The sequence below is a fragment of the Homo sapiens genome, chromosome 9 (genome assembly GCF_000001405.40).
Source record: "Homo sapiens chromosome 9, GRCh38.p14 Primary Assembly".
NCBI classification, from domain to species: domain Eukaryota; kingdom Metazoa; phylum Chordata; class Mammalia; order Primates; family Hominidae; genus Homo; species Homo sapiens.
Window position 1 is genome coordinate 92,951,712 of NC_000009.12, and position 20,797 is coordinate 92,972,508.

Genomic DNA, 20,797 nt, shown 5'->3' on the forward strand with positions numbered 1-20,797 from the left:
TGCCAGATGTAGGGTTGTGTCTGAGCACACTCATGTTCTTGGTCCTTGAAACACTGGTGCCTGAAGGATTCATGTAGCTGCGGAGGTGGTAAACTGAATGAATAAAACTGCTGGTCTTTGACCATGCAAAATAGGTGTAAAGTAGGCTTGGGGGGATCTCAGTCAGAAGACCCTGACTTTACGGCTGCAGAGAGGATGCCTCTGTCCCCCAGCTCCAGGGCAGACAAAATCTGAGGGTCTAAGATCTTCAGTGGCAAAAGGGGCATCTGGTTTTTTGACCCTCTCCCTGATCTTGCTTTTAAACAAGTTCCAAAATATTTTGTCTGCAAAACAAACTATGCTGCATAAGGAATAATTCGTGGCCCTAATTCATCCATTAGAGACCACACTTGACTCCCCAAGGGCTTCTTAATATCCCTGGTTTCCAACTCATGTGAGTCAATGCAGGGGGTGACCAGAGCACATCTCTGTTTATTTTCAAGTATGCAAAGGATATATACACATATCATTGTTGAAAGTCAATTTTTTTTTTTTTTTTTTTTGGAGATAGAGTCTTGCTCTGTCGCCCGGGCTGGAGTGCAGTGGCACGATCTCGGCTCACTGCAAGCTCCGCTTCCTGGCTTCACCCCATTCTCCTGCCTCAACCTCCCAAGTAGCTGGGACTACAGGCACCCGCCACCACGCCCGGCTAATTTTTTGTATTTTTTAGTAGAGACGGGGTTTCACCGTGTTAGCCAGGATGGTCTTGATCTCCTGACCTCGTGATCCGCCTGCCTCGCCCTTCCAAAGTGCTGGGATTACAGGTGTGAGCCACCGCGCCCGGCCCGAAAATCAAACTGTTTTAAAGCTGAAGGCCCCCCCATCCCATCCTCTACCCTCCAATCCTAAGGCCCTCCTTAACATTATGAAGGTTGAGCAAGTGTGGCTCAAATCTCTCCCTCCTTCCCCCTCTTTCTCCTTCTCTTCCTTCCTCACTCCCTCCCTTCTTTCTCTCTTTCCTTCTTTCTCTCCTTCCTTCCTTTTCTCTTTCCTTCCCTTTTTTCCTCCTTCCTTCATTCTTTCCCTTTTTTCTTCTTTAGAATAGTGCTGCTGTGATCACCCTTAGGTGCCTCCAGTTCTAAGCTTTCTGATTACTTCTTCCCCCGAGGTCCTCCAGCTCAGCATCTGCCCTTAAAGGAAACCTAAATAAACATGTGTTGTTGCATTCTGAATAGCCTCTGGTTGATCAGGAGCTTAGACTAAGGATTGAATAGTAAACGGTGGATCCAAGTGATTGTGAGAATACCACTTGGCAGAATGTGATGTCTGGATTGGACATGGAGTGCATAGGAAAGGACCCGCACCTCCCTGGGCATATGAGTGTTTCTGGTTGACGCTGTGCAGCTGCCGCATAACAATGCTGGAATTATCCTTTATTCAGGGCCTGATTGAGTGGGGGCGTGGCCACCCCTTTATTGCCTTATTTTTTAATGTATATCATTCTCTATTTACACATTGATAATTTTTTCCTACAGGGTAAAAAAAAAATGCACCAGATGCAGCACTTTTGTGTAAGTATAGACACATCAGGGCTCTTTGTTAAGGATAAGAAACAATCGCTTCCACTTCAGGCTCTAATGTTATCATAGCCAACTGCCAGAGCCGCTCTGTAATTACGTCTCCTGAGTGGAAAGCTCTCAAAATGCCACTTGGTCTAAGAGTTTGAAGCTGGGCTTGCCTCTCCACTTTGGCCAAGATGACTAAAGCATCACATATTTTTAAAGCAACTTTTAAGAAATGAGGTATAGTGAGTGATGACTAGCCAGCTTCTCGCTGCTCACACTGTAGCATTTTACACACATTTTCCCAGGGAGCCCCCAGGAACTTGGTGTCCAGGGATATTTTCCCCATGTTGGGGTGAAGGGGCTCACACAATGTCACCTGCACACGGGCCTCACAGTTCCAGATCTGGGCTTGTCCACTCTCCCAGCTGCCTGCCTGGGAGGAAGGCAGGTAAAGTTAAGGGCAGTGCCAAGGTTTAGGAAATATTGTCTGCCTTTGGACCAAATGTAATTTCAATTTAAAGTAACCTAGAAAATGTTTTGCAAAAAATGTGTTTTCAGAAAGCAGAATTACACTCAGTATCCCTTCTTTTTTTGGTTTCTCAACCACATCTTTCATTAGAGAGATTTAGGACAGCTAAGTAGAAATTAAATTTTCCATATGTAAACAGACATGGAGACAGCTGGCTTTCACTGGGCAATAGTTCCCGGCTGGGAATCTCCAATGAACAACTTCGATTCTTGTATTTTTAAACAGGTTGGCTTTCCTCCCAAATGCAAATATAATGTTCTACGTAGAAATTTATATGTTACTGAGAAGCATCAAGAAGCAAATGAAAATTCCCGGAAGCTCACCACCCAGAGACGGTCACTCTCAGGGTTTCACACAGCCTCTCTGCCAGGAGCTTTCATTTCCTTGGGTCTTGTCTATTGTTAGGTCACATGTTGAGTAGGATTTGTCTTGGAGCCTGAACGCTGACAAAGGTGCACCACCCTTGGACCCCATCCAAAGCCACACAGGAATGACTACTCTGGTCCCACCCACTTCCTGCCCTAGCTAGTGTGGTATTTTTGTGGCTTTCCCCTGTCTTGTCAGAAGAATGAGAGTAACTCAACATGGGCACTTTGTCCAATCCTTGGGTCTCAAGGGTTCTGGGAAGGATCCAAGAGCTGTGGTTCTCGGTTCCCAAAAGCAGGCAGGTGATTGGAGAAGCAGCCGGGCTCTGAGTCCTGTGCCCGTGTGGCCCAAGTGACTGGCTGTGACCCTAATAAGTGAGCAGAAGGGCAGGGGCCGGGGTCACCTTGCACAGGAAGTGGCAGCCATGAGGGTCTCTGCAGGCCAGAGCTGCTCCTTCCTCAGGGGCCATCTCCCAAGGATTCTTGTGTCCTAGGAGCCGCTCAGCAAATGGTTGTTGACTGACTGAGTGACCGCACTTTGGCCTCTCTGAACCTCAGTGTCCTGGTCATTGAATGGGACTCTTACTTCCAAGCTCTTTACTCCCCTGAGCCCTGGCCTCCTGGTTCCCCTTTGTCCTGCACCTTGGGCTGTGTCCTAGAGACCAGCCACCTCAGCTGCATCTTGCTAGGCTCTGAGTATCGTGGCCTTGACATTTCCTCCACCTCTCTGAACCACAGCTTTGTCTTCTGGAAAAGGAGAAATTAGAGGATGCTTGGAGCATCGTTGCCTGCATTCATGGAACTCACGGTCTGCCTGGAGAGTGATGGCGATATGGTGTCTATGTGTCCGAGAGCCAGCTGCACCCAGAGGGAAGCTCTAAAGCTGGTGTGGTCAGGTGGCCAAGGAGCAGAGGGAACAGACGTGAGAGGCAAGGCCCGTGAGGGTAGGGAGAGGTGCTCCCAATCATTGTAGAGGCCAGGAATGAGGCTGGGAGGCTGCAAGGGCCAGGTTCCAGCCGGGCCAACTCTGAGATGACGCTGAGGATTCCAGCTTTACTGTGAGTCACTTGTAGGCTCACTGCTTCTCTTAAGAGGCAAGGGATGGCCAGGCACGGTGGCTCACACCTGTAATCCCAGCACTTTGGGAGGCTGAGGTGGGCGGATCACCTGAGGTCAGGAGTTCGAGACCAGCCTGACCAACATGGAGAAACCCCATCTCTACTAAAAAAATACAAAATTAGCCAGGCATGGTGGTGCATGCCTGTAATCCCAGCTACCCGGGAGGCTGAGGCAGCCTGGGCAAAGAGAGCAAAACTCCCTCTCAAAAATAAAAATAAAAATAAATAGAGCCAAGGGATGCCACTAGCTAGTTGTTTAATTAAACTTTTTATTTTGAAATGACTGTATAGACACATAAGAGATAATGCAGAGATACTGTGGGCCTTTACCCGGGATTTCCCAGTGGTAACAGCTTGCAAAACGATATAGGACCATATCATAGCTCGGACCTTGACACTGGTACAGTCAAGACACAGAGCAGCACCAGCACAGGGAGCCTCCTGTGGCCCTTTGATGTCCACCTGCTCCCTGCCTGCCCCTGACAGCAGCCAATCTGTTCTCTGTTTCTACAATTTTGTCATTTTGAGAATGTTATATAAACGGAGTCATATAGCATGTAATCTTTTGAAATTATCTTTCTTCCACCAGCATAATCCCTTGGGATTCCTCTAAGGGAATTCATGCAGGGGAATCATCACACATCTAGGCTGCTGTGTGTGTCAATAGTGTTTCCTTGTTATTGCTGAGTGCTGTTGTGTGGCATGGATGTACCACAGTTAATGTGTAAATGACAACATAGTTTTCATTTCCATGTCTGCATGTTCATTGCCAGTATATACAAATTAAAGTGATTTTTGTGACTTGATTTTGTATCCCTGACCTTGCTAAATTCACATACTAGTTCTGGGAGTTTTGTTTGTTTGTTTGTTTGTTTGTTTTCGCTTCTTGGCATTTTCTTTGTAGACAGTCATGTCATTTGCAAACATGGACAATTTTATTTCTTCCTTTCTGCTCAGCATGCATTTTCGTTTCTGTTCTTGTTTTATTGCACTGGCTAGAACCTTCTCCACTGTGTTGAATAAGAGTGGTGACAGCAGGCATCCTTGCCTTGTTCTCACTTTGGGGGACTATTATGGGCCTGACTATGTCCCTGCAAAATACATGTTGAAGCCCTAATCCCCAGTACCTCCGAATGTAACTGTGTTGGAGACAGGGCCTTTAAAGAGGTAACAAAGTTAAAATGAGGTGCTGAGAGTGGGTGCTGATCTGTCATGACTGGTGTCCAAAAAGAAGAGCTGAGGACTCACAGAGGGACAACCACGTGAGGACACAAGGATATGATGGCTGCCTACAAGCCAGGGAGAGAGGCCTCAGGAGAAACCAACCCTGCCAACACCTTGATCTCAGAGTTCCAGCCTCCTGGAATGTGAGAAAGTAAATTTTTGACTTTTCAGCCACCTAGCCAGTGGGACTTTGTTATAATAACCAGGATAAACTAAGACACTGCCTTCCAGAGTACCACAGGGCACCTCTGTTCTGACTTCAGAAACTAGTTCTGCCTGTCTTTGAACTTCATCTAACAGTCTTTTGTGTCTGGCTTTGAGATCCATCCATATAATTGCTTTCTTTCTTTTTTTTTTTTTTTTTGAAGACAGAGCCTTGCTCTGTCTCCCAGTCTGGAGTGCAGTGGTGCAATGATAGCTCACTGCAACCTTGACCTCCGGGGCTCAAGCAGTCTCCTGCCTCAGCCTCTGAGTAGTTGGGACTACAGGCACATGCCACCATACCCAGCTCTACATCATTGTTATATCAGTGGCTTACTCCTTTTTATTGCTGGATCCTGTTCCATCCATATTATGGCTGCACCACACTTTGCTTATTACGCATTCTCCAGTTGTCAGACACTTGAAATTGTTTCCAGCTTTGAGTTATGAATACAGCTGTTCTGCACATTTGTGTACAGGTCTTTGTGTGGACAGATGTTTTCTTTCCTCTTGGGTAGATACCTAGAAGTGCAATTGCTGGGTCATAGAGAAGGTGTATATTTAACTTTGTGAGAAAATGCCAAACAGTTTTCCAAAGTGGTTGTACAATTTTCTGCTTCCACCAGCATGAGAGTTTCACACTGAGAGTTACGTTTGCTCCACATCCTTGCCAGCAGGTGGCATTGTCAGTCTTTTTCACTGTAGCGGTTCAGATGGGGCTGTAATCATTCCTCAGTGTGGTTTTTAGTTTCCCTGATGGCAGGCAGTGTTGCCCACCAGCTCATATACTTATTGTCTATTTAGGTAACTTAAGTCAAGTATATGTTCCAGTTTTTTTTTCTCATTTTAAAAATGGAATCGTTTGTCTTTTTTTTTCATTGATTTGTAGGAATCTTTTTGTATTCTGGACACAAATCTTTTATCAGATATATGTATTGCAAATGTTTTCTCCCAATCTGTGATTTGTCTTTGAAATTTTCTTTTCTTTTTTTTTTTTTTTTTTTGAGACAGAGTCTCGCTCTGTTGCCCAGGCTGGAGTGCAGCAGTAGCATGATCTCTGCTCACTGCAGCCTCCACTTCCCAGGTTCAAGTGATTCTCCTGCCTCAGCCTCCAGAGTAGTTGGGAGTACAGGCGTGCACCACTATGCCCAGCTAATTTTTGTATTTTTGTAGAGATGAAGTTTCACTATGTAGGCCAGCCTGGTCTTGAACTCCCGACCTCAGGTGATCTGCCCACCTCAGCCTCCCAAAGTAGTGGGAATACAGGCCACTGCACCCGGCCGCCTTTGAAATTTTTAAAAAATATTTAATTTTTTTTTTTTTTGAGACAGGGTCTCATTCTGCCACCCAGGCTGGAGTGCAGTGGCATGATCTCGGCTCACTGCAACCTCCACCTCCCAGGTTCAAGTGATTCTCCTGTCTCAGTCTCCCGAGTAGCTGGGATTACAGGTGCGCACCACCATGCCCAGGTAATTTTTGTATTTTTAGTAGAGACAGGGTTTCTCTATATTGGCCAGGCTGGTCTCCAACTCCTGACTTCAGGTGACCCACCCTCCTTGGCCTTCCAAAGTGCTGAGATTACAGGCATGAGCCACCTTGCCCGGCCTTAAAGACTTAATTTTTTTATAGCAGTTTTACATTCACAGGAAAATTGAGAGAAAAGTACAGAGATTTCCCATATATTCCCTGACCCCACATATTCAGAGACACTCTCTTTATCAACATCCTCCCCAGAGGAGACATTTGTTACAATTGATGAACCTGCACTGACACATCATTATCACTTGGAGTCTATATGTGGCTGGCCTTTTCACGTTCCTAATGGTGCCTTTTGATAAGCAGAAGTTTTCTATGTTGATGAAACATATTTTCAGGTTGAAGAAGTTGTTTATAAAGTTTTTTTTGTGTGTGGCTTAGTGCCTTTTATACTCTAAGAAATCATTACCAACCACAAATTCATGAATATTTTCACCTATGTGTTTTTAGAAGCTTTACAGTTTTAGCATTCACAATTAAGGTTTGGATTCATTTCTAGCTATTTTCTGTGTATAGTGTGAGTAAGCAGTCAAGGTTTGTATTTTGGTACGGCTATCTAAATGTTCCATTACTATTTGTTGAAAGGACGTATCTTTCCCTATTGATATGTACTGGCACCTTCATTGAAAATCAATTGAACAAATGAATGAAAATCTATTAGTTCATTGATTTCCATTGATTTATCCTTATGTCAATACCACATTGTCTTGCTTTTGAAATTTATTTTATTTTATTATTTATTTAGTTTTGAAATGGAGTCTCGCTCTGTCGCCCAGGCTGGAGTGCAGTGGCATGATCTTGGCTCACTGCAACCTCCACCTCCCAGGTTCAAGCAATTCTCCTGCCTTAGCCTCTCCAGTAGCTGGGACTACAGGTGCCTGCCGCCATGCCTGGCTAATTTTTTGTATTTTTAGTGGAGACGGGGTTTCACCGTGCTGCCCAGGCTGGTCGTGAACTCCTGACCTCAGGCAATCCGCCCACCTTGGCCTCCCAAAGTGCTGGGATTATATGCGTGAACCACTGCGCCCAGTCAAAATTTATTGTATTATAGTAATTATTTTATTAATGAAAATAATTACTATAATAAAATTATTTTAGTTAATAAAATATAATTACTATAGTAAGTCTTGAAATAGGGTAATTGGTTGAACTAGTTCTCTGTTGTTGGACCTTCAGCACATCTCTGACATTGGGCAAGGCTCGGTGGGTGGCTCATGCCTGTAAATCCCAGCACTTTGCAGGGCTGAGGTAGAAGGATCGCTTGAGCCTGGGAGTTCAAGGTCAGCCTGGGAAACATAGCCAGAGTCCGTCTCTGCAAATAATAAAAACTTAGCCAGGCATAGTGCCACACACCTGTGGTCCCAGATACTCAGGAGGCTGAGATGGGAGGATCCCTCGAGCACAGGAGGTCGAGGCTACAGTGAGTCATGATCGGTCCAGTGCATTTCAGCCTGGGCAACAGAGGGAAACTCAGTCTCAAAAAAAAAAAAAAAAAAAAAATCAGCCCTAATAAGACTGTATAAAATGTCCTTGCTCATTTGTGTGGGTGTTTTGGAAGGTCGATGGCTGAAGCGAGTGTCCCTTATGTCTGCATGTCCCATGTCCTTGTGTCCCCATGCCCCCATGTTTCCAAGACCACACGTCCCCACGTCCCCTGTACCCCCATGCCCTCATTTCTCTATGTCCATGTGGCTCCACATTCCTCATGTCTGCGTGTTCTCATTCCTCATGTCCCCATAACCTCCACATCTCCATATTCTTCATGTCCCCGTATCCCTCACGTCCCCGAGTCCCTGTGTTCCCATGTCTCCATATCCCCATGTCTCCATGTCCTCATGCCCCATATCTCCATATTCTTCATGTTTCCATGTCCTCTTTCCCCATTTTCTCATGTCATGTCCCTGTGTCTTCATGTCTTCATGTCCCTATGTCTTCAGGTTCCCATGTCCACTTATCCTCACATCCCCATGTCTCCATGACCTCCACTTCCCATGCTCTCATGTCCCAAAATGCCCATATCCTCATGTCCTCTACGTCCTGTTGTCATGTCTGCATGTCTGCATGTCTCCATATCCCTCGTGTCCCCAAGTCCCCCATCCCCATGTCCTCATTCCCCCATGAGGACCCCTCCTATCCCCACGTCCTCATGTCACCCATAAACCAGCCCAGAGCAGAGTTTGCCTTATGCTGTGTGCTTGGTAAATATGAGCTGCCTTCCTCCTTAAACCTTCCATTCAAAGGCTGCAGAATAACCATGGGTAAGATGGCTTCCCTGAAAAAATGCACCCCAGGTGTCACTACTAGACGTCAGATGGACACTTTCCCCCACAGCGGATAAACTGGTAGCAACCCTGGGAAGGAATGGGGTGTAACAGCCAGGGCCAGCTGGGTGCCGTAACAGTCCCAGGCTTAGTCATAGTGCAGTGCTGGCAATGGGAGAGTTGTGGGGGCTCTGTTCCTTGTAGTCAGATGGGGAGCACTCACCCACCAGGACAGAGGCCCAGGGAGAGCACTCATCCACCAGGGAAGAGCCCCTAGGCCAGCTGAGAGAAATTAGGCCAGGGGCTGCTGAACAGGGTAGAGCCCCTGGGCTTCCCTCCTGGTAAGTGGGTGTTCCCCCTTGGCCTCTCTCCCAGTGGGTGATCCCCCCGGGCCTCTCTCCTGGTGGGTGGGCCCTCCACCCAGGCCTCTCTCCTGGTGATTGGGTGCTCCCCCTGGGGCTCTCTCCTGGTGAGTGGGTGCTCTTCCAGGCCTCTCTCCTAGTGGGGTGCTCCCCCTGGGCCTCTCTCCTGGTGGGCGGGCACTCCCCCTGGCTGACAGTTCTCTGCCCATAGGCTCTCTCCATCCTGGCCTCTGTGGTCCCACACAGGCCCCTCTGGGTCCTGGACTTCAGAGCTCCTCTCCCTGGCCATGGCCAGCTTTCCTGGAAGACAGGACTGGGGGTCCCTGGGACAAAGCAGGAGTCCTGGGGAAACCCCCTTTCTCATCAGAGGCACCCACCCCTCATGAAGTGAGCCACCTGGGGGAGGATGAGCAGCACCCTTGAGGGACAGGCTAAGGGACACTGGAGGCACAGGGCCTTCTCTGCAGAGCCTCTGACTCCACAAAGTTATTCAAGGGCTTTGAGATTGAATAGCACCAATGGATTGTCACTGTGGTCCCCAGGAGCCCTCCATGGTCACCAGGAGTCCTCCGGGGTAGAGGACTCATTTGAGCCATTGGAACATGAGTGAAATAATTGGTCAGAGAAATTGGAATATGTGTTGATACTTCCTGGTGGTTGCTTCTCCACTGTGGGCTGATCCCACCATTCCCCAACTTCAGGTCACCCTTGCCCTTTTTCATGATGAAAATACTACATCACTTTAAAACAATAGGAAACACTTAACTCTTTAGTTTTGATGGGTCAGTATTGGGGTGTGGCTTGGCTATGGCTTGGGGACCTCTCATGAGGCTACAGATGGTGGCTGGGGCTGCAGTGTCATCTGAAGGCCTGACTGAAACTGAGGATCATTTTCAAGGTGACTCATTCACACATCACAAGTTGTTGCTGGCTGTTGGCCTGGGGCCTTAGTTCCTCTCCGCATGGGCCTCTCTGCAGGGCTGCTTGAGCATCCTCATAACATGGCAGCCAGCTCCCCCACAGTGAGTGATTCAGCAAGGAAAGGCAAAAGCTGCAGTGTTATGTATGGCCTGGCCTTGGAAGTCACCTTCATCATTTCTGTAATGTCCTATTGTACAGTAGTGTCCACAGGTCAGCTCTATTCACAGTGGGAGAGGCAGATAACCAGCATTTGATGATCACTGGGCCATTGGGGGGCAGGCTGCCAAAAACATGTTTCTTTTTGAATGATGTCACTCCCAGGTGGAGGCACCACTTCCTCCCACTCACCCCAACCAGGGACGACAGGACACTTGGCCTCAGTTCTACTTTCAAGCCACAAACCCCTCCCCATCCTCTTTTTGTTCCTTACCTACCACAACCCCTCACCTTTCAGGTCACCACAGCCAGCCTGCTGCTGTGCTGCCAGAATTTATCATGACCCTCTTAGGACGACAGTTGTGTATTCCTAGTGTACCTGGGTTTGTGTCCCTGGTCCTAATGGGACCCCACTGCTGGCCTTCTGGCACAGGGGACCTCTGTAGAGGAGAAGGCTGAACCAGGTGGTGGTGGCAGGCACTGCTGTCCTTCCTGGCCTGGGCTGGAAGCATCTGGATGGTCCAGGGCTGCCTCCTCAGGGGGCAGGAGCCAAGACTCCAGGGCCCCGGCATTGACAGCACAGCAACGGTGATTCAGATGTTGGTGGCTGGGATCCCTTGAGTACCTACCATAGGCAAAGCCCTCATTTCTCACAAAAACTCCACCACATGCATCCCACATTTTCTCCATTTCATGGAGGAAGAATGGAGTCTTCAAGAAGTTCATCAGTGTCCGGGCATGGTGGCTCATGCCTGTAATCCCAGCACTTTAGGAGGCCGAGGCAGACAGATCACCTGAGGTCAGGAGTTGAGACCAGCCTGGCTAACATGGTGAAACCCAGTCTCTATTAAAAATACAAAAAATTAGCTGGGCATTGTGGTGGGCACCTATAATCCCAGCTACTTGGAAGGATGAGGCAGGAGAATCTTTGAAACCAGAAGGTGGAGGTTGAAGTGAGCTGACTTTGCGCCACTGCACTCCAGCCTGGGCAACAGAGTGAGGCTCCGTCTCAAAAAAAAAAAAAAAAAGAAAAGAAAAGATTAAGTTCAGCAATATGGCTGAGGCCACAGCACCCATGCGTCCGAGCTCAGGTGACACTGTCCACCCCATCCTTGTCACGGCTGGGTGTAGCTCTGCATCCTCACACAGGCAGGGAACTTAGGGACAAACTCCACATCACCTCAGCCTTTAGCTTTTGGGAGGGAGGGGCACACCACTGTGTCCTGAGCCTCAGTTTCCCTGTTGTCAGACGGGGATAACCATACTTCACAGGGGCATGAAGGGGCCCAATGAGTAACCATTCACAGGGCACCTGCGGCAGCACCTGGCACAGGGAAACTGAGGCCCAGAGAAATTGCTTTTATTTATTTATTTATTATTTTATTTTTATTGAGACAGTCTCTTTCTGTCCCCCAGGCTGGAGTGCAGTGGCGCAATCTCAGTTCACTGCAACCTCCACCTCTGGGGTTCGAGCGGTCCTCCCACCTCAGCCTCCTTAGTAGCTGGGATTACAAGCATGCGTCACAATGCCCAGCTGATTTTTGTATTTTTAGTAGAGACAGGGTTTCACCAAGTTGGCCAGACTGGTCTCAAACTCCTGACCTCAAGTGATCCTCCCTCCTTGGCCTCCCAAAGTGCTGGGATTTCAGGCATGAGCCACCATGCCCAGGTGAGAAATTGCTTTAAAAAAAATGAATATAAGCCTGGATTAACAAGCATTATTAAAATTGAGTCAGACTTTGCACTCTAAGCCCTTCAGGACCTGGTGTTATTATTTATTGATTCTCTCCCTAAAACAATGAGGGTGCCCTCCTGGTGGGGCTGCTCAGCGGGGCAGGTGCTGGGCCTGCTGGAGCAGCCCTCGTGGGTCAGGTCTCCCAGGAAGCATCTTGAAATATCTGTTTGCAGGGGGCCTCTTCACCTTCTAACTTGTGGCCATTTCATTGTTCCCAACCAAGAGGGTCTGAGGAAGCCTCTGATGGTGTGTTTCTGGGCTCACTCTGGGCTTGTCTGGTCTAGGGCCGGCCCCCTCATTCCCTGCTGGGCCCCTCCTCCCTGAAGATCTACACAGCAGATCTACTCACAAAAGTCCACCCAGCAGAAGCAGGAGGATGGTGGTTGTGGGTCCTCTGTGAGCAGCCCTGTTAACCTTTAAACCAGCACGGCCGCCGCAGCTGTGAGCCTAGCACCTGATCAGTGGAGAGCTGTGGATTGCATGTTTGTTTGCCATTGCCCCCGCCACCCTGCAAGTTGCACCTTCTAGAATCAGCAAGCCAAGCTCCTCTCACCCAGCGTAATGATGCGGAAATGCAAATGCACCATCATGTTGTGACCCATATTGCGAAAATTAGAAAAAAGGAAGTTGTGTTTCGCTATTGCACGAAGTTCAGCCCAGAGGAGAAACTCGCTCGCCTTCAGAAGACAGGTGAGTGGGCTTGGTCCTGAGGTGTTGGCCGAGCCCTGAGATCCTAACTGCTTTTGTGGAACTTTGGGGTGGTAGGAACATTCAGGGCAGGAGCCATTTGAGGGAGACGGATGTTTTCAAGGCAGGAAGTGGCTGTGGTGGCACGGAATGGTGTCTTGTTTTTGTTCTGTTGTCTTTCTCTGGGTTCCTGTAGCATGATGTGTAAAAATTCAGAGTTATTGTGGGCCTCGAATGGCAAGTGTGAAAAGCCTTTGTAAACTGCTGAGTGCTGGGACAGTGTTGCCTATCGTCTGGGGGTGGCTTAGGCTCTCACAAGATGAACGGTGCCTGCCCGTGTCCCCATCGAAGGCTGGCAGGGGCCTGGGTCCGAGGCTGACCAGATGCAGGGAGCCTTTTTCCATCGGCTGGCAGCGCACCAGCCAGGGCATCGAGACCACGGCCAGCCCCTCTCATGTCACCCAGGCCTGGGGGGCGGGGGGTAGCGCGAGCCTTCCTCTGCCTGAACAGAGGAGGGTGGTCCCAGACGTGTCCTGGGGGCTAGGCTTTCCCACACAGTGTGTCTCCAGAAGCTTCCTCTGCACTCTGCAGGTTAGATATTAGCAGATGCGGGCCTGTGTAGCATGGGGCTGTGAGGAAGGAGTGCTGCGCCCACCAAAGCCTCCTCAGCACCCCGTGCTGTGCCTGGCAGTGTGGGACAGTGGCGGGGCCACCTCAAGAGGTGCATGGACTGATGGCAGGGTCCCAGCGGCAGTGGCGGCACAACCCGATGCCACCGTGATTGTGCCCACTGTGCAGAGGGGGCCCGAGGGGCAGAGGCATGTTCGGGTCACACAGCATGGCCACACTCATCTGTAAAGTGGTGACTGAGTCGTGCCAGGCTCACTGTAGTTCGGGGCTGGACGTGCTTAGCAGGTGCCACTGCCATTCAGATCGGTGCTTGCCAACACCCAGGGCGGATGCTGGTCAGCCATTCTTGCAGGGGAGGAAACCAAGGCACACAGCTGACTTGCCCTGGGCCCCCCAGCCTGCAAAGTGTCTGACTGAGCCCCAGTACAAATCTTCACAACTTGCTCAGTGGCCCCAGAGCCGGGTGGGGCTGACCAGCTGGGTGTGAAAGGGAGGAAGTGGTTTGTCCCCAGCTGGGCTGTTACAGGAGGCCAGAGGAGGCCCCGGTTCCACTCCTCAGGGGGCGGAGGTCCACGTCTACACAAAAACCAGCACCATGCAGTGTGCAAGACCCCTTGGAATGACACGAGGCCGAGTGCCCTGCACACAGAGGCCTGCAGCCGTGTTGTACAGAGGTTAGAGCTGAAATGACCTTTTCCTGAGAAGCCTCACCACTGTCCGAGGATGGGCCTGACCTTCCTGGCCTGTGCCCCTTGAGGACTCCCAGGTTAGTCCCTGGGCTAGAAGAGTGACCTGGGAGTCACTGGTGCATGTGCTGGGAGCTCCCAAAGCATCCTCCCCACCTGCCCCGATAGGTCTATCAGGAGCCTGGTTTACAGATAAGGAAACTGAGGCCCCTCAGTAAGGGCAGTGCTGGGCAGGTGTGAAACCTAGACAAGGATGAGACTGGGCTTGTGGAACAAGGAGGCTCGGAGGCAAGCATGTGCCGAAAACAATGAACAAGGACAGGAGGAAGAGCAGAGCCGGGCACTGTGGTGCCTGCCTGTCCCTAGGCGGGACGACCGTCAGCTGTCGGGGCTGAGCCGGTCGGGAAGGAAACAGGATATGAGGACCTTCATTCATCCCTTACATTTCTCCCCGTGTCCTGCCTTCTTCTCTGCAGATATTGTGGGTCCTTGTAGGTGACAAGGGGCCCATTGTCTGAGGAGGGAGACAGGGACATGAGCCTGCCACGGTTTCATCTGGCTAGCTGCAAGGACAGTGCAGGGCAGGCCCTGTGTGAAATGGGGGCAGCCACATCTGGGTCTGGGGACAAGCTGCCTGCTGCCTAGTGACACGAACCTGTGCCCGTGGTGCCTCCGTCCCCACACGTGAGCTTCCCCACTCCCTCCTTCTGAGCTTGCTGCCTGCCGGTGAGTGTCCCTGGTCTCAGGAAAGTAACCCACAGGCAAATGGTTGCTGCATTTTCCCAAAAGCAAGTATTGAACCCCTAACAATAATCTCAGCCCTCCAGGACCCCCTGCTCTGTGCCACAAGGTGTGCTGTCCCCCAGCCCCACCCTCCAGGTGGGGGCACCGCAGACTCAGGCCTGGAGGCTGCACCTGTGGGCCCTGCCCGGGGCCCACCCCACCTGGGAGTCTGTATGAGGCCTCTGCCCAGGGTGCCAGTCTTCTGAGGAGCAGCGGTGGCTGTGCATGTGGACCAAGGAAGGAGGGCAAGAGTGTGTGAATGAGGGCTGAGCTCCGCAGCCTCAGAAAGGGACACTAAGGATCCCGCCTCCCCTGGACACCCCCAGCTGGGCAGGGAGGTTGACAAGGAGGCTGGCCTGGTACAGGGCCTTGCCCTTCGCACCTTGTCATTTTGGTGCAAATTCAAAAAACTTCTCATGAGAATCTTCTGCATATGTTTAAAAAAAGTTTTCTTTTTAAAAATGGCAGTAAAATACACATAACCTAAAACATAGCACTTTCATCTTTTTTCTTTTTTTTTTTTTTGGGGGGGGATGGAGTCTCACTCTGTCTCCCAGGCTGGAGTGCAATGGAGCCATCTCGGTTCACTGCAACCTCCATCTCCCAGGTTCAAGCGATTCTCCTGCTTCAGCCTCCCAAGTAGCTGGGATTACAGGCGCCCACCACCAAGCCCAGCTAATTTCTTGTATTTTTAGTAGAGAGGGGGTTTTACCATATTGGTCAGGCTGGTCTTGAACTCCTGACCTCAGGTGATCCATCTGCCTTGGCCTCCCAAAGTGCTGGAATTACAGGCGTGAGCCACCGTGCCCAGCCTCCTTCATCGTTTTTAAGTGATCAGTACAGTGCCCTCAGCACATTCATATTGCTGTGCAACCATCACTGCCATCCATCTCCAGAGCGTCTTCACCTTCCCAATCTGAAACTCTGTCCCTGTTAAACCCTCTCCATTCCCTCCCCTGGCCCTGGCAGCCACCATTCTGGTTTCTGTCTCTGTGAATTTGACTCCTCTAGGACCTAACGTAGGTGGAATCACACAGGATTTGTCCCTTTGTGACTAGCTTATTTCACTTAGCATAATGTCCTCAGGGTCCACCCCTGTTGTGGCATGGGTCAGAATTTCCTTCCGGTTTATTTATTTACTTATGAGATGGAGTCTCACTCTGTCACCAGGCTGGAGTGCAGTGGCGCGATCTCAGCTCACTGCTACCTCTGCCTTCCAGGTTCAAGCTATTCTCCTGCCTCAGCCTCCCAAGTAGCTGAGACTACAGGCATGCACCACCATGCCCAGCTAATTTTTGTATTTTTAGTAGAGACAGGGTTTCATCATGTTGACCAGGCTGGTCTCAATCTCTTGACCTCGTGATCCGCCCGCCTCGGCCTCCCAAGATGCTGGGATTACAGGCATGAGCCACTGCGCCCGGCCTCCTTCTGTTTAAGGCTGAACATGATTCTGTTCTATGGAGAGGCCACCTTTTCTTTATCCAGGTTTCTAGGGATGGACACTTGAGGGGCTTCCACCCTTTGGCTGTTGTAGGGAATGCTGCTATGTATGTGGGTGTACAAGTACCTGTTTAAGACCCTGCTTTCAAACCTTTTGGGAGAAACATTCTTGACTAGATGGACTCACATGGGAAACTGGTGTTGGTTTAAATGTGGCTGCCCTAAGAAAAGCTGCCGCATCCTTGGGAGAGGTAGATACCCCCCGCCCACCAGCCCCCGATTCCAGGCTGTCCAGCCTCTTCTCCCAGTCCACAGTCACAGCGTCATGCCAGGGCTATGGGTCATGAAGACTCATACAGTCTTAAACAGTAGAAGTAACTTGTTAAGGTGGCGGTGTGAGCCATATTTGTGAGTGTCTGCTCATGGCATGACTACAAACGGGGAGGTGCTGCGTTGATCTGCCTCCTCTTCTCCCTGCTCAGCTTGCCCTCACTTCCTGCCCTCTCCGAGGCCCCTCTGACCCCCATCCCAATTCAGGAGCATGTAGCACCTCACTGAGTTCTCAGCAGAGATGATGGAGACCCCTCCTCCATCCACTCCCACAGCAGACAGGGCATTTCCCAGGCTGAGACCCCAAGGTAATTACTCTGGGCTTCCAGGCACCGCTAGGTCACAAGGTGGCTTTAATTTTTGTTTTCTTTTCTTTTTTCTTTCTTTCTTTTTTTTTTTTTTGACACGGAGTCTCACTCTGTGGCCCAGGCTGGAGTGCAGTGGTGTGATCTCCTCACTGCAACCTCCGCCTCATGGGTACAAGCAATTCTCCTGTCTCAGCCTCCAGAATAGCTGGGACTACAGATGCAAGCCATCACGCCTGGCTAATTTTTGTATTTTTAGTAGAGATGGGGTTTCACCATATTCATCAGGCTGGTCTCGAACTCCTGACCTCAGGTGGAGGTCTGCCAAAGTGCCTTAGCCTCCCAAAGTGCTGGGATTGCAGGTGTAAGCCACTGCGCCCAGCCTGGTGGCTTTAATTGACTGCCATTGGGCATTACATCTGGGCATGGCCAGGGTGCCCTGGGCCTTGCTCACTGTGGGTGGCCTCAGTGGGTTTGGGACCTCAAGGCACCAAAGTTAAGCCAGTGAGAAGCCATATGGGGACCAGCGGATATAGGCAGTTCACATGGTTTATTGTATCACCTAGAGGCACTTACAGTATTGCCTGGATTCTCTATCACAGGGTAACCCACAAGGGAGATCTTGTCGTCATCATCCCTCATGATTCTGGGCCACCCGGGTGCAGCGGGCGGCTCTTGCCCACAGGGCTGGGACCCATTGCATAAGGCTTCCCCCAAAGGCTTCAGGCCTGGCTGCCACCTGCTGTCGGCGGGGATGCCCCCGCATGCCTCTCTGAGTGGCTAAGCCTCCCTCACAGTGAGGTGCTGGCTTCCAAGTGTGAGAGCCCAGAGCTGTCTTCCCTCCTGACCTGGCCTCCCACATGCTGCCCTCTCTAGTTACAGCGAGTCTCTTAGGGGCTCTGTATTTAGGGGAGGGATGTCAGAGTCCGCTTTTAGATTGAAGTGGCATCAAAGAATATACGGGCAGTTTAAAAACCACCACTAACGCGTTTGTTGCTCCCCCTACATAACATGCCATTGTTATGGAGCCTCCTGTGTGCCGGGGGCCACTGGGCCACTCCAGCGACAGGACAAGGGAGGTCCCTGCCTACTAGGTTCCAGGCAGCACAGTGGACAGGTGCCGTGGTGGGTTTCTTTCAGATGGGGGGGGACTCCCGCACGGCCTCCCGGGAAGGGACATCTGGTGGCAGATAGAGCTGGGTGGTAGGCAGACTGGTGGCCCATCTGTGGGACCAGCCCTGCCTATCTGGGGGACCGCTGCACTGTGGAGGGACACGGGGCGGGGGCCAGAGCACTTCATCCCCCTGCTCACTGGCTGCTGTGATGGAGACACATGAACAGTTCTAGGACACCCTGGATTCTGGGGCATTCTAAATTTCTTCAGGTTTGTGGATTTCCTCGTGCTACAAGGTGGCAGCCCTGAGTGTCTGGGACCTGTTCCCTGGCTGAGTCCACAGTGGGCACGGCTCATCTGGGTCAGCAGCTCCAGCCTTGCTCACCTCAGGCGGCTCAGGGCTTCTTAAAGGGAAAGCTGAGGTGGCTGCATACAGAGAACTGACCTCGGCTTCCTCAATGCCCCTGTGGAAACATAGGCATAGCCCTGGGCGGACCAGAGTGACCCAAGCCCGGGGGCTTCCAGCACCTGTGTCCCAGGGCCAGCCTCTCTGAGCCTCGGCGTCCTCATATGAAGGACAGAAACGTCCCCTGCGAATGTGAGAAAGGGCTCAGCACTGACCCTGGGCATGGGTGTGCATGGGTGTACTTGCCTTATATGTGTGTATGCATTGTCAACCTAAAATAATCAAGAGAATCAGAATATAGTCTAAAGAGAGTTTATTCAAGCACAAGGTTGAGGACTGCAGCCAGGGAGACACTTCCAAGTTGCCTCAAGGAATGTCTGGAGAACAAAAGAGAGGCTCAAGTGTTTAAAGAAAAGAAAGGATGAATCAGGAGAGGGGGTGGTGACCATTGTTCATCAGGAACTCTCATTGGTTCACAGAAATAACACTGGCTAGTGATTGGCCAGCCACTGTTGAACTACAGGGAATGTGGCATTTTAGGGCTACTTGGCATCTGTTAGTCTCAAGCCTGCATAGCAAGTGGTTTCAGGAGGGACCTATTTTGCTCGATGGGGAGTGACACATGACTGTGTTGCATTCCAGTGCCTCTCAATGCCTGATTATATAAAGGGGCTGGCATTCCTCAGACACAGGCCTTTTTATTTTTCAGCATACGTGTGCACACATGTGTATGTATGTGCACATGTGCGTTTGTTTATGCATGTGTGCATGCACCTGTGCCTTGAAGGCCAGGCAGTGGCCACACCAGCCCAGGAGGGTTGCTGCTGGCAAAAGCCTTTGGCCGCAGAGGGGCTCTGCCCGGCTACACTTCCCAAAGTAGCTCATCCCTCTCCTGCCCCTCTATCCAGCTCTCTTTGTTTTCTGTTCTCATTACCTTTTTTATTTTAAAACAACGCATACTCTGTAAAAAGTCCTTGCAACAGAATAGAAGGAAGTGAAGTGACAATTAGGGGCTCCTCAACCCAGGTTGCCCCCACCAAGGGCACCCTAAAAACCTCACTTTTAATTTGATTGCCTTTGTAAAGACCCTGTCTCCAAACATGCCTTCATTTTGAGGTACTGGGGGCTAGGACTTCAGTGTGTGAATTGGGGGGTACCGACAGGATCCATAACACAGGTGTTTGCAATACAGAGTTGCAAACGCAAAGCTGGAGGTGAGTGTCCTTCATTTGTTTTGGTTCATCTGCTCTTGGACAAAAGCCCTTCCAAGATGGGAGTGATTTGAGGGCCTCCGATGAGCACAGTGCATCCCTCTCCTCTGGACAGGATGTCTGGGGACCCGGGCTGCTTGGGCCTCCTAGGCTGCAACCACACACCTCCTCACCTCTCCTCATGATCCATCATGATCCATCCTCCCTTCTGTGGTAAGGAAAATGATGCTTAGGAATGTCTGAAACTCACGAAGTTTGTACAGTTCAAAGGCGATAAGGGTGGGATTTTTCTTTTCTTTTCTTTTCTTTTCTTTTTTTTTTTTTTTTTTTTTTTTTTTGAGACAGAATCTGGCTCTTTCCCCTAGGCTGGAGTGCAGTGGTGATATCTCTGCTCACTGCAACCTCCGCCTCCAGGGTTCAAGCATTTCTCCTGCCTCAGCCTTTCGAGTAGCTGGGATTACAGGAGCCCACCACCACACCTGGCTAGGGTGGGATTTTTCTTGATCAGCCCTGTGAGGTATACTTGGCGTACCATTGATGCATAATGTTTAAAGTGTACAGTTGGATAAACTTTGACATGGGGTGTGCTCATGAAATTATCACCACAATCAAGGTAATGAATATGTGTGCAACATCCCACAAAGCTCTTGTGCTCCTTTGTAAGCACTCCCCACCTCCCCAGCCCCCTCCACCCATCCACCCCCCTCCCCCACACCAACCCCACAGCCCCTCCCATTCCTTCCAGGCACCCAGCTGATCTGCTTCCTAGCACCATAGGCTACTTTGCACTTCCTAGAATTCTGTAGTAATGAGAAAACACAGTAGGTCTTCTGTGGCTCCTTTTGTTCAGCATAATTATTTCTAGATTCATCTGTATTCTATTCCCTTTTTAAAAATGGTCTGAAAGATCTGGCTGGATGTGGTAGCTCATGCCTGTAATCCCAGCACTTTGGGAGGCTGAGGTGGGAGGATCACTTGAGGTCAGGAGTTCGAGACCAGTCTGGCCAACATGGTGAAAACCCATCTCTACTAAAAAAAATACAAAAATTAGCCAGGCGTGGTGGTGGGTGCCTGTAATCCCAGCTACTCAGGAGGCTGAGGTGGGAGAATCACTTGAACCCAGGAGGCGGAGGTTGCAGTGAACCTAGATTGTGGCCACTGAACTCCAGTCTGTGTGACAGAGCGAGACTCCATCTCAAAAAAAAAAAAAAAAAAAGGTCTGAAAGATCATTAGATGTAGGTATAGAATTAGC

General features: G+C 50.2%; 1 protein-coding gene across 3 annotated transcripts in view, besides 5 other annotated features; it reads left to right on the forward strand.

Moving 5' to 3' along the window:
* The window catches only part of FGD3 (FYVE, RhoGEF and PH domain containing 3), an 88,711-nt gene that overhangs the window by 4,189 nt on the left and 63,725 nt on the right, over nt 1-20,797 (forward strand). The window contains exon 1 of one of the 3 annotated variants that reach the window (NM_001369951.1): nt 12,296-12,642. The exons of 1 other annotated variant lie outside the window; for it this stretch is intronic. The gene's annotated coding sequence lies outside the window, so the exon portion shown is untranslated. Of the gene's footprint in view, nt 1-12,295; nt 12,643-20,797 lie in introns of those variants that run through there. One more of the 3 variants, NM_001286993.2, reaches the window with a different exon arrangement.
* Nucleotides 2,369-2,468: an enhancer, noted in NCBI's record as "active region_28606". NCBI's record gives its function as "activates an Ori minimal core promoter by ATAC-STARR-seq in GM12878 lymphoblastoid cells {active_cell/tissue: GM12878}" and the evidence as "EXISTENCE:reporter gene assay evidence [ECO:0000049][PMID:35858748]".
* Nucleotides 12,282-12,401: an enhancer, noted in NCBI's record as "active region_28607". NCBI's record gives its function as "activates an Ori minimal core promoter by ATAC-STARR-seq in GM12878 lymphoblastoid cells {active_cell/tissue: GM12878}" and the evidence as "EXISTENCE:reporter gene assay evidence [ECO:0000049][PMID:35858748]".
* Nucleotides 12,682-12,791: an enhancer, noted in NCBI's record as "active region_28608". NCBI's record gives its function as "activates an Ori minimal core promoter by ATAC-STARR-seq in GM12878 lymphoblastoid cells {active_cell/tissue: GM12878}" and the evidence as "EXISTENCE:reporter gene assay evidence [ECO:0000049][PMID:35858748]".
* Nucleotides 13,428-14,059: an enhancer, noted in NCBI's record as "H3K4me1 hESC enhancer chr9:95727421-95728052 (GRCh37/hg19 assembly coordinates)". NCBI's record gives its function as "activates a minimal SCP1, AML or CMV promoter by ChIP-STARR-seq in primed H9 embryonic stem cells {active_cell/tissue: H9 hESC(primed)}" and the evidence as "EXISTENCE:reporter gene assay evidence [ECO:0000049][PMID:30033119]".
* Nucleotides 18,494-19,185: an enhancer, noted in NCBI's record as "OCT4-NANOG-H3K27ac-H3K4me1 hESC enhancer chr9:95732487-95733178 (GRCh37/hg19 assembly coordinates)". NCBI's record gives its function as "activates a minimal SCP1, AML or CMV promoter by ChIP-STARR-seq in primed H9 embryonic stem cells {active_cell/tissue: H9 hESC(primed)}" and the evidence as "EXISTENCE:reporter gene assay evidence [ECO:0000049][PMID:30033119]".